This window comes from Homo sapiens, chromosome 4 (assembly GCF_000001405.40).
Source record: "Homo sapiens chromosome 4, GRCh38.p14 Primary Assembly".
Classification (NCBI taxonomy): Eukaryota; Metazoa; Chordata; class Mammalia; order Primates; family Hominidae; genus Homo; species Homo sapiens.
In genome coordinates this window covers 733519-746160 of record NC_000004.12, presented here as the reverse complement: position 1 = coordinate 746160, position 12642 = coordinate 733519, and the positions used below count along the sequence as shown (strand labels likewise).

The 12642-nt window shown below is 56.1% G+C and overlaps 1 protein-coding gene and 1 long non-coding RNA gene across 11 annotated transcripts in view, besides 1 other annotated feature; both read right to left on the bottom strand.

Moving 5' to 3' along the window:
• Positions 1 to 12642, bottom strand: part of PCGF3 (polycomb group ring finger 3) — a 64258-nt gene that overhangs the window by 23929 nt on the left and 27687 nt on the right. For 7 of the 10 annotated variants that reach the window (NM_001395245.1, NM_001317836.3, NM_001395246.1 and 4 more), the window contains 5 exons: positions 12372 to 12489; positions 11134 to 11230; positions 8640 to 8695; positions 2577 to 2687; positions 1473 to 1561 (listed from right to left, as the gene is read on the bottom strand). In NM_001395245.1, coding sequence (NP_001382174.1) covers positions 1473 to 1561; positions 2577 to 2687; positions 8640 to 8695; positions 11134 to 11230; positions 12372 to 12480 — 462 coding nt within the window. In that variant the 5' untranslated portion in view covers positions 12481 to 12489. The other 3 variants (NM_001395250.1, NM_001395251.1, XM_047449500.1) reach the window with 2 other exon arrangements.
• Positions 3384 to 3473: a silencer, noted in NCBI's record as "silent region_15107". NCBI's record gives its function as "represses an Ori minimal core promoter by ATAC-STARR-seq in GM12878 lymphoblastoid cells {active_cell/tissue: GM12878}" and the evidence as "EXISTENCE:reporter gene assay evidence [ECO:0000049][PMID:35858748]".
• LOC107986246 (uncharacterized) lies at positions 4422 to 6734 on the bottom strand. The gene is made up of 2 exons (XR_001741543.2): positions 6217 to 6734; positions 4422 to 5454 (listed from the first exon to the last, which is right to left on the bottom strand). It is a non-coding gene; the product is annotated as an uncharacterized LOC107986246 (long non-coding RNA).

Here is a 12642-nt window from a genome sequence, read left to right as displayed (position 1 = left end):
GCCTCCACGGGAGCACTAACACTGCAGCGACCCCCGGGCCCCGCCCACCTGCTCACGCCTCCACGGAGAGCACTAACACTGCAGCGACCCCGGGGCCCCGCCCACCTGCTCACGCCTCCACGGAGAGCACTAACACTGCAGCGACCCCCGGGCCCCGCCCACCTGCTCACGCCTCCACGGCGAGCACTAACACTGCAGCGACCCCGGGGCCCCGCCCACCTGCTCACGCCTCCACGGCGAGCACTAACACTGCAGCGACCCCCGGGCCCCGCCCACCTGCTCACGCCTCCACGGAGAGCACTAACACTGCAGCGACCCCCGGGCCCCGCCCACCTGCTCACGCCTCCACGGCGAACACTAACACTGCAGCGACCCCGGGGCCCCGCCCACCTGCTCACGCCTCCACGGCGAGCACTAACACTGCAGCGACCCCCGGGCCCCGCCCACCTGCTCACGCCTCCACGGAGAGCACTAACACTGCAGCGACCCCCGGGCCCCGCCCACCTGCTCACGCCTCCACGGAGAGCACTAACACTGCAGCGACCCCCGGGCCCCGCCCACCTGCTCACGCCTCCACGGAGAGCACTAACACTGCAGCGACCCCCGGGCCCCGCCCACCTGCTCACGCCTCCACGGCGAGCACTAACACTGCAGCGACCCCGGGGCCCCGCCCACCTGCTCACGCCTCCACGGAGAGCACTAACACTGCAGCGACCCCCGGGCCCCGCCCACCTGCTCACGCCTCCACGGAGAGCACTAACACTGCAGCGACCCCCGGGCCCCGCCCACCTGCTCACGCCTCCACGGCGAGCACTAACACTGCAGCGACCCCCGGGCCCCGCCCACCTGCTCACGCCTCCACGGCGAACACTAACACTGCAGCGACCCCCGGGCCCCGCCCACCTGCTCACGCCTCCACGGCGAGCACTAACACTGCAGCGACCCCGGGCCCCGCCCACCTGCTCACGCCTCCACGGCGAGCACTAACACTGCAGCGACCCCGGGCCCCGCCCACCTGCTCACGCCTCCACGGCGAGCACTAACACTGCAGCGACCCCGGGGCCCCGCCCACCTGCTCACGCCTCCACGGCGAGCACTAACACTGCAGCGACCCCCGGGGCCCCGCCCACCTGCTCACGCCTCCACGGAGAGCACTAACACTGCAGCGACCCCCGGGCCCCGCCCACCTGCTCACGCCTCCACGGAGAGCACTAACACTGCAGCGACCCCCGGGCCCCGCCCACCTGCTCACGCCTCCACGGCGAGCACTAACACTGCAGCGACCCCGGGGCCCCGCCCACCTGCTCACGCCTCCACGGCGAACACTAACACTGCAGCGACCCCCGGGCCCCGCCCACCTGCTCACGCCTCCACGGCGAACACTAACACTGCAGCGACCCCCGGGCCCCGCCCACCTGCTCACGCCTCCACGGCGAACACTAACACTGCAGCGACCCCCGGGCCCCGCCCACCTGCTCGTCGCTGCGGTGGTAGTCGTTGTCCTCCTCCGGCTTCTCCTCCGCGGCCTCTTTGTTTGAACTGTCGTCTGCTTTGGTTTCACCTTTTAGCACAAACAGAACATAGCGCACCATGAAATCCAAACTGTCAAGCCATTTAAAAAACTACACTGTACTCCAAATGCCGTCAAAAATTCACTCCATTAAGAGACTCTGGACCCCCGGAGCGGAGTAAGCGTCAAAGGAAAGCCGTCCGCAAAGTGTCTGCAGGGGTCTCCCCAGGATGCAGAACGGGCGTGTGGGCCTGTGGGGTGCAGGCGTGGGGAGCACAGGAGACAGAGACGGGGCAGCCGGAGCCGGCGTGGGACACAGACACGCTCCGCACTGGCCACATGGCCAGGCCCGCCCGGAGCTGCTCAGTGCTGACCACATCAGCCCCTCGATCTGAAAGCCTTCTCCTAAAAATCCACTGTTTCAACACCGCTTTTAAAATGAAAACTTCCCCTCAGGTAAAAGGGTTCTGACAGGACTGCTTGGTTCCCAGACTCGCTTCCTAACCACGCCTCATGGCTGTGCTTCCTGGGACCCGCAAAGCCGTGGGGGTGACAGAGCCAGGCCCCTCCCACCCTCCAACTGTCACAGACGCCCGGAGGAGCCTAAACATTTCCTAAGAGTTGGTGTGGTCCATTAGGAAAATAAAATGTCCTCAAGACATGAACGTTTGTTGTGATACCCTCAGATTTCAACATACCATTCCCTTTACACAGAAACCAAACCATTATTTTGCCATTTTACAGTAAAGCAAGCCAAGTGAAGTCTCAGGAAGTTCACCTTCCACTACTCTTTCCACAGGCCTTCTGAACCCTGACCTCTGCCCCCCAGACACTCTCGGGGGGCCCTCCTGCTCTCCCCTGCTGGCTTTTCCCCTCTGCCCACGTTCCCACTGGTACCAGGAGTGAGGAGGAACGCCTTGAACCCTAACCGCCCCACACCCTCAGGTTCCCCCACGTTCTCCCGTGAGTGCGTGTGGGAGGGGCCGGCAGACAGCGCCAGCTCTTTAAGAAAAGGCCTCATGCAGGGGATTCCCGGGGCTTCTGGATGGGCACGCAGGGCACTCACCATTCCGATGGGAATCTAAGTGCTGTTTTGCAGAGCAGGTCTCCCCCTTGATGTCTCCCGGCACCTCCATGCCCAATTTGTGATAGAACTCCCTCTGCTTTCTCATTTCCGCTGCGGAAAATCAACACACAGTCTTTCATCTCACAGGCAGTGGATTCTATTAAACTTCTGTTCATAAACATCACATAAAGAAAATTAGGGATTTGCATTATGAAGTTTGAAGGCTACTAATAAGAAAGCAGCAAATTAAGACTGAGATGTTTTGGGGGCTCAGCACAGCGGGAAGCGCACCCCCCGGGCACCCGCCCCACCAACCCACGTGGGACGTTGAGTCGCAGACCGGCTGCTCCAGGCCTAGGACAGGCACGGGGCCTGGGAAACCCAGGTGCGGGACTGTCATCCCCACCTCAGCCACTGCCTGTGAGTGTCCAATGGCGCAGAACCACCCGTCACCAGGGGTTGATAAACACTGTGGCCACAGCAGTGCCATGCCAGACATCATTGCTGACCTCACGGCTGAGCCAGTGGACTGCCTGGACACCCGCAGCTCAGAGATGAACCTGCCACTGGGTTCCCCCCACGCTCCTGCGCAGTGGCAGATCCTGCCGGCTCACAGGTACCCAAGGCCACCACTGAGGAACCCCAAGAGAGCCCTCGAGGGCCCGAGAGCCCCGGGGACCATGTGTCCCAGGCGCCTGAGTCCACAGCCTGCAGGGAGGGCTGCTCACAGCTATGAGCTCTGGCACCCCGTTGCCTGGCAGTGGGTTAAGAGCGCCCCCTGGTGTCTGTGGCCACAGCCACAGGCACAAATTCCAGGGAGGAGACTGCCCGGCGGCAGACGGGCCGCAGCATCCTCACCCACACCTGCCATTGGGTCACCTCTGGCCGGACCAGAGGAGGCCTGACCCTCCAGGGATGGCCAGCAAGAGCTGGCCAGAACCTCGCAGGTTCCAGGGAAAAGCAAACAGACTCTCGGCAAAGGCCCCCTAAGGGTGACCTTAGTTCACACCCAGGGGACACAGTGGACGACGTGGGTCACTGCTCGGGAACACACAGTAGGTAGCAAAGAAAGGTTAGAAAAAAGCTGCTCAAACCGCAACCCAGACATCACTCTGAAAAGTAACGTATGTGCTACGTGACCAAGGAATTCTTCACCAAACTTTTTATCCACGATTTCCTCCCTACATACCATGAGCTCGGCCAGGCCAGGGAAACGCTCTGGGCATACCCCAACCTACACAGCTGCCTCACAAACACCAACCGTGCAGGGACCAATGCCCGCGTGAGGCAACGAGCTTGGACAGAGAGGAGGATGCCCCGTGAGCCTGGGCAGAGAGAGGAGGGGACCCCGAGAGCCTGGGGAGAGAGGAGGGGACCCTGAGAGCCTGGGCAGAGAGAGGAGGGGACCCCGAGAGCCTGGGGAGAGAGAGAGGAGGGGACCCCGAGAGCCTGGGCAGAGAGAGGAGGGGACCCTGAGAGCCAAGGGGATAGGTGGGGCCGGCCGCAGGTGGATGGAGTGCTGGAGCCTCACAAGGGAAATGCTGAAAGATTAGCCTGGAGAATCTGAGAGCAGCTTGAAAGAAAATGTTTCCCTTAAATAATCACATCCCAGCAGCTGGAATGGAGGCCTGCAAGACAGGGGCTGACAGCAGGAGGCTGTTCCCATCAGTCTGCAGAAGAGCCGTGACGGGAACAACAGGCCACATAGGTCCGTGCAAAGGAGAGAGCCCCACGGACACAGTGGAAAGCAACTCAGCTTCAGACCCTGACCCTTGGCTCTAGTTCCCATTTCTTTAATTTTCACCTGTAAGAATAAAGAAGGATTAAAAATAGCAGCACTCAGTGTCAGGTGTATACAGGCACTGAAACATTTATTGGGGCCGGGCGCGGTGGCTCACACCTGTCATCCCAGCACTGTGGGAGGCTGAGGCGGGCGGATCATGAGGTCAGGAGTTCGAGACCAGCCTGGCCAACATGGTGAAACCCCCGTCTCTACTAAAAATACAAAAAATTAGCCAGGCATGGTGGCACCTGCCTGTAATCCCAGCTACTCAGGAGGCTGAGACAGGACAACTGTGTGAACCTGGGAGGCGGAGGTTGCAGTGAGCTGAGATCGTGCCACTGCACTCAGCCTGGGCAACAAGAGCAAAACTCCGTCTCAAAAATGATTGAATAAATAAATAAATAAGAGCTCACTGTCTCTGGACATTGCTCTTGAGCTGCGGCAGTCCAGCCTGATCTGAGGAGCTCACTGTTGGCATAACGCTAACGAATCAGCCAATTGGAAGCTTATTCTGACTACAGCCATATCTTCATTTTCACTTCTGAGAAGAAATTCTGCTGTGATGAGACATTCCATTTTAAATTTTCAGCATTTTGTAAACACTGCTTTCCTGTGAGTAGGGAATATTGCTGGTGTCTAAATACTGCTTTCCTGTGAGTGGGGATATTGCTGGTGTTGAGTCAGTGACTCCATCGTCGGCTGTTTGCTCTCAGCATAGCTACAGTATGACGGATGAGAAAGTCGGTGCTTTGCCATCAACAATGACAGTTCAACAACAAAATAATCCAGAGTTCACTGCGGCTTCGAAGTGCAGCCCTGAAAGTCCCCTTTTCTCCTTTCCTCGTTCTGACGTCGTCATGAAAACGTCCCAATGCAGTGACGATGAGTTCCAGCCACGGTGCAGAGGGCTGCCCAAAGCCACCGGCAGGCAGGCAGCACACTCCTGGCACACACTCAGCTGCACCACGGACGGGCTTACGGGTGAAGGCGACCACAGCTGAGCCAGTGGGGCTGGTTCCAACCAGGCTACGCACCATGAAATTTCAATTCTTAAATTATCACATCATAAAATACGCTGCTTTTGATTTTTTCCAACTATTTAAAAATGTAAAGAAACATTCTTAGCTCATGGGATCCTCCTGCCTCGGCCTCCCACAGTGCTAGGGTTACAGGCATGAGACACTGTGTCCGGCCCCCACGTTTCTAAAGCAAGAGGTGACAGGCATGTTCAGGATCCATGGAAAGAGGACTGGTGAGTGCGTGAGCCCCACAGCCCTCACCAGGAACGGACAGGAGCCTGGCACACCAAAGACCATGACACGCCCACCGAGTGAAAGAGCCCAGAGTGGGCTGAGACTGAGAATGGACACTTTGATAAATGTTTTAAACATGTTGCCTCTACGAAGACAGGTTTCTAAAATAATTTATAAAAACAAAAAGAAACAACAAACCACTAAAAACCTAACCCCACCTCTGATCTAGCAGGGAACTCTCTTCCAGCAAGCCCCCACCATGTGGGGGTGCGGGGACAGCGTTGAGGGCCTGCCCGGAGTCCAGGTGGGAGGGGCAGGACCGTGTTGGCGTCTCCTCCAAAACAGACACCTGGACCCTCAAGGGCTGACACCTCGCCTCACCACTGCATCCTCGCAGCTAACGCGCGTTTCAGGAAGAGGCCTCTGGTCGGAGAAATGAGGTTTGCAATTGTCTGCACCACAGATAAAACTAAACAAATTGCAAGTAGCCTCCATCAAGAAAATAGGTGCACTGCTAATAGTTTTAAAGTTAGAATCCTCCTGCTAAAGAGCCACAAATGACTGAAAGCTTGAGAAACAACAAGAAAAAGAATATTGACTCAACGGAAAATATGGTGGCCAGAGACAGGAGCTGGTCAGGGAGGCGGCTCGGGGCCACCGTGCCCTGGGGGTGTCAATCTGGAGCACTCCGGAACCTCTTGCCTCTCGACTTCTTCAACGTAGAGTGGAGTTGGCAGCGTCCACACCGGACAAGAGCGTGCTGAGGTGGACGAGAACATACAACCTGCTCCAGGCTGGACGCACACTCCAACTAACACGTGGAGACGAGCGATGGAACGGAGGTGGCATGCAGATCTCAGTGCCACCCGGCTCAGCACATGGACGACACCTGCCCTGATGGATGCCCAGAAGCGGGCTTCCCAAAAACACGGGTGGAACGCACCCAGGTCCACTGCCGCAGGACAACCCAGGACAATGGGAAGGCAGAGGCAGGAACCAGAAGGAGGCCCGTGAGTCAGTGGTATTCTCTGGATCCTGATTGGAATAAACAAAAACAGGCTGGGTGTGGGGGCTCACACCTGTAATCCCAGCACTTTGGGAGGCCAAGGCAGGAGGACTGCTTGAGCCCAGGAGTTCAAGACCAGCCTGGGCAACACAGCAAAACCCTATCCCTACAAAAAATTAGCCAGGATGGAGGTGCTTGCCTGTAGTTCCAGCTACCTGGCAGGCTGAGGTGGGAGAATCACTGGAGCCCGGGAGGTTGAGGCTACAGTGAGCTGTGATAGCACCACTGAACTCCAGCCTGGGCAGCAGAGACCAGGTCTCAAAATAAATAAAGAAATAAACAACAACCAAAAAGCACCGCATTTATGAGACAACTAGAAATGTCAGCACTGAGTGGCTATTTGGTATTAAGGAATCTCTACTATTTTCCTAAACATTATCAAGGTATTGTGGTTATGAGCTTTAAGAAGAACCCTTATCTTTTGGGGATACGTACTGCAGCCTTTACAGATCAAAGGCCACGGGGTGAGGCTGAGGGAGCAGCAGGTGCAGCAAGGACGGCCACGCCTAGAAACTGCTGGCGGGGGGTGGTGGTCACAAAACTCGAGGTTCCTGCCCCGATCCCGCCCACTGCTAAGCGTTTGAAACGCTCCAGTGCACACTTTATTTATTTATTTATTTTTTTGAGACGGAGTCTTGCTCTGTCGCCCAGCCTGGAGTGCAGTGGCGCGATCTCAGCTCACTGCAACCTCTGCCTCCCGGGTTCAAGCGATTCTCCTGCCTCAGCCTGCTGAGTAGCTGGGATTACAGGCACCTGACACCACGCCCGACTAATTTTTTTTTTTTTTTTGTATTTTTGGTAGAGACAGGGTTTCACTATGTTGGTCTGGCTGGTCTCAAACTCTTGACCTGATGATCCACCCGCCTCGGCCTCCCAAAGTGCTGGGATTACAGGCGTGAGCCACTGCACCCGGCCACAAACGTTTCTTAAAGTGTCAGCACTGGCGGGGGTCACAAAACTTGGGGTCCCGCCCCGATCCCGCCCACTGCTACGCGTCTGAAACACTCGGTGCAAACGTTTCTTAAGGTGTCAGCATTTAACTCGAATGTATCCTTTGCCTTTTCTCAGGACTAAAAAACTTTCAGATATTAAAAGACTAATTGTTTCTATCTACGTTTACTCAGGAAATCTAAATTCTTCCTGCATGAATGAACTCTGTGAGTAGGGAAGAAGCCTCTAACAGTATGATTCTCTGGGTCACGCATTAAAGGCGAGATACGGTTTCTACGGATCTGGCATATTCAGCTGTGTTTTGAATTCCAACCCTCTTCTGAGATACAGTGAGAACCAGCCCAAGTGAATTCTCAGCTTCTCTATCTGCCTTTGAAAGGTCTGATGAGCAGAATACCAGGACAGCCCACCTGGCGCTGACCTGGCCCCTCCTTGGCCTCCTTGCCGGTCGCCAGCGGAGGGCCACCACCGTGAGAGTGTCGGGAGCTGGGGAGCTTTCAGCTGAGCGATCCCCAAGCAACCGATTTCCACTTTCAGGGTATTTGTACTACTTGGTATTTCTTTTAATTCTAAATGAAATTTGACTTTATGGTGAAGTTTTTCTAGAAACACCAGCTACCCGCTATGCCAACGTGCTGCTCCTCTGTTGTGGGGAAGCTGGCGCTGTGGGATGAGGGGAGGCAGGCCTGGGACAGGAGGTGGGGCCCAGGAAGAAGGCAGGGTCCTGGGAGGGGCAGGAGCTGCGTTGAGCCCTGGGGGTCCCATGTGCTAAACATGCGATCCATACTTGCTGAATGAATACACATAAGGGGTAAAAAGATGTCTACGCATCTTAGACGAAAGAAGAGACCAGCCAAGGAGATGAAGTTGGGCTGAGAGCAGGGATGAGAAGACGGTGATTCGGCCAAAAGGAAAGGGGCCTCCCATCCGAGAACCAAACTTCCAGGAGAGCAGGGGCTGCAGAGGCCAGGCTGGGACCTCAGGGATCAGCAAGACAGTCAGACACTCACCTTCTTGGAGGCCTGGTACCAATTTGTAAACAATATCTTGCATGGTTCTGTCATGACTGGCAAAAGAACAGAAAGGTGGAGTTAGCTGGAAATGTTAATTCTATAATTCTTGTACACTTTCCATTTAACAATATCAAAGTTCAGAATCACCAGTCTGGAGCTTTGTTGGAATTTTACTTCTAGTTTACACATGAAAAAATGTGTCACCAAAAGCCATGTATGAGCTGAATTAACGCGTCATTTAACTTGGGCTCTGGCTGCTTCAAACATTTCAAATAATGACAGAGAAGGCTCTTCTGGGAACCCGTGCTTCTGTCTGCCGGACACCCCAGATTCCCCACGTCCCGTGCGCTCAGGGGACACCGTCCCTGCAGACACCCCAGGTTCCCCGCGTCCCGTGCGCTCAGGGGACACCGTCCCTGCAGACACCCCAGGTTCCCCGCGTCCCGTGCGCTCAGGGGACACCGTCCCTGCAGACACCCCAGGTTCCCCGCGTCCCGTGCGCTCAGGGGACACCGTCCCTGCAGACACCCCAGGTTCCCCGCGTCCCGTGCGCTCAGGGGACACCGTCCCTGCAGACACCCCAGGTTCCCCGCGTCCCGTGCGCTCAGGGGACACCGTCCCTGCAGACACCCCAGGTTCCCCGCGTCCCGTGCGCTCAGGGGACACCGCCCCTGCAGACACCCCAGGTTCCCCGCGACACTGTCCCTGCAGACACCCCAGGTTTCCCGCGTCCCGTGCGCTCAGGGGACACCGTCCCTGCGGACACCCCGGGTTCCCCGCGTCCCGTGCGCTCAGGGGACACCGTCCCTGCGGACACCCCGGGTTCCCTGCATCCTGTGCGCTCAGGAGACACCGTCCCTGTGGACACCACGGGTTCCCTGCATCCTGTGTGCTCAGGGGACACCGTCCCTGCGGACACCCCAGGTTCCCTGCATCCTGTGCGCTCAGGGGACACCGTCCCTGCGGACACCCCAGGTTCCCTGCATCCTATGCGCTCAGGGGACACCGTCCCTGCGGACACCCCGGGTTCCCTGCATCCTATGCGCTCAGGGGACACTGTCCCTGCCCCTCCCACCAAGTGCTTCCTGGGGTCTCCTGGTCTTTGTGGGATTTCCAATGAACAGAGGCTTTTCTAGAATGTTTCCAAATAATGTAAAGAAAAGTCTGTGAGGGCCGGGTGTGGTGGCTCACACCTGTAATCCTAGCATTTGGGGAGACTGAGGCGGGCAGATGACCTGAGATCAGGAGTTTGAAACCAGCCTGGCCAACATGGTGAAACCCTATCTCTACTAAAAATACAAAAATTAGCTGGGCGTGGTGACATGCGCCTGTAATTCCAGCTACTCGGGAGGCTGAGGCAGGAGAATCACTTGAACCCGGGAGGTGGAGGTTGCGGTGAGCTGAGATGGCGCCATTGCACTCCAGCCTGGCGACAGAGCAAGACTCCATCTCAAGAAAAATAAATAAAATTAAGAAAAATAATAATAATAAAAGGGAAAAACAAACACATCTGCCTTTCCTCCTTCAAAATGTGTCTTCAGAATTATCTCTACTACCCTCATGGTACGGGGAGCATTTCCCTTCCTTTGGAGCAACCCCCCAAATCTGAACGACCTCCCAAATCTGTGTGAGAACCACACGCTCCACCTGGCTGGCCCCTTGGCCTCCTGCTGACGTCCAGGCAAGAGTTGCCTTCTCCAGAAATGGTGGCTGGCCCAGGGGTGAGTCCAGGCTCGCTGTGACCCTGGGCAGAAGAGCACAGCGCAGGGAGAAAGACCTTGGCCATGTGTCAGGGGCAGCAGGGCCAGGGCCCCAGGACCATCTGCTCCATGGCAGAAAGGTGAAAGGGGTATCCAAGGGCCGGCTCACATCAAATTTAACTTCAGCAAATTCTGCGTAAAACTCATGAGATTCAACTTGGTCTTGAGGGCTCTCCAACAATTTAACTTGACTAAGTATTTTTTCTTTCTCTTTGAGACAGAGTCTCGCTCTGTCGCCAGGCTGGAGTGCAACGGCGCAATCTCCGCTTACTGCAACCTCGGCCTCCTGGGTTCAAGTGATTCTCCTGCCTCAGCCTCCTGAGTAGATGGGATTATAGGCATGCACCACCATACCCAGCTAATTTTGTACTTTTAGTAGAGATGGGGTTTCTCCACGTTGGTCAGGCTGGTCTCAAACTCCTGACCTCAGGTGATCTGCCTGTGTCGGCCTCCCAAAGTGCTGGGATTATAGGCATGAGCCCCTGCGCCCGGCCTACCTAAGTATTGATGGAAATGTATGTGCAGGCACAGCCTGGGCAGGCCTGGCAGGATGGCCTGGTGAGCGCTGGACCCAGGTTCTTCGTGTGCAGCTCCTGGGGTGCCCTTGGTCAGGAGAGGCTGCTGCCAAGGCAGGATGGGAGTACAGCGCTAATGGCCTGGGAAGGCCCACACACAGAGACGCCCAGGGGCACTCACCCCACGTACTGTGGCCTGGGAAGGCCCACACTCACCCGATGTACTGCAGGGGGTGGCTCTGGTGGATCACAATCCTGCAGGTGGGGCAGGTGTTGTTCTCCTCCAGGTACTTCACCAGGCAGCTCCTGCAGACTGTCATCAAAGCACAGGTGTGTTAGGAGAGCGTCTAGAGCCAGGGCGCCCACCCCATCGGCGTGCTCCACTGAACACGGGCGTCTCTGAGCTCGTTTCTGTGCAGATGCTCACTGCTGTCCTCCTTGTGGCTCTCAGCTTCTGAAAGGAAACATCTTGCCGTTCTGGTCTCAGGAGCAATGAGAAGGTTTTAATTGCCCCGTCAATGGGCTTCCTCAAAGAGGCAGGGTTAGGAATTAAGTGGGAAAAAAACTTAGAATGGGGAGATGATGCTCAAAGGTGACAGAGCTGTGGGTCATCAGAACATGGGCTAAAACAGATAATTTTACAATACTTTGTCCTAAAAGATGACAGTATCTTCTACGTACAACTAGATAAAATCAAATGAAAATAACCTAACATAAAATATGCTAACCAATATCTAAAAATACGATTAACGTTAAAGTCAAAATTCTATCAAATTGGCAAATATTTTATTTCCTAAAGTGAGAAATACACAAGCATCACTTGTATTATAAGCGTACACTTCATTTTAAAGATCCTGTTTAAACAAAATGCTCCCCAGCCATCAAGAGACGCACACAGCGGTCGTCCACACCAGCAGGGCCGCCAGCCATGGGGCCTCAGGTTAGCATAAGAGCCGAGCCTCAGCCTGATGGATGGCACCTGCCCGTCAGCGGTAGCCACACTTAGAAAAACACTCAGGTCCAGCCCCAGGTGTGAGTCCTCTAACACCAAAGCACAGACTCATCAGGTGTGAGGACGCACATCAGGTGTGAAGAACACACTGGAAGGTTCCCCTTTGAAGGATCTAAGGAACTCCTCTGGAGATTTGGAAACTGCCAGCAGTGAGCACTGTCACAGCGGCTACTGGCCTTGCTGCTCCGTGGGAGGAATGTGGGGTCTCTCCTGTGTTTCGCTCTCCTAAGCGAGGCCTCATCTGCTCTGACACCACCCACAGGACCTTTAGCGTGAAATGACTTTTCTGACTTATCTTCAAGATCGTCTCTGCCCCTGGTCCTGGTTCCTGCTTTTGTCGGGCTTGAGCTAAAAGCGTGTGGTAACACAAAAGCCAAGGTTCTGAAGAGCACAGAGCTGGGAAGGGCGCGCCCTCCCTGGGTGGCGCGGGCAGGGCACGTACAGGTGTGCAGACACTCGGTCACCGTGGTGGCGTCGATGAGGTACCCGCTGCACAGGCGGCAGGTGATGTGGGCGTTGATGTCCCACAGCTTGATCTTCCTGGTCAACATCTTTGGCTTCTACAAGAGAAAACGCGATTAATTAACACCTGAAACTCTTCCATGCCTTTCATCCTTGGCTGAGCTCTGACAGCCGCCCCCAGGGAGGACAGTGCAGGCCCTGAGGCCTGGGTGGCAGGAGCCTCTTGGGCTCACGGGGTCCCAGGCTCCCAT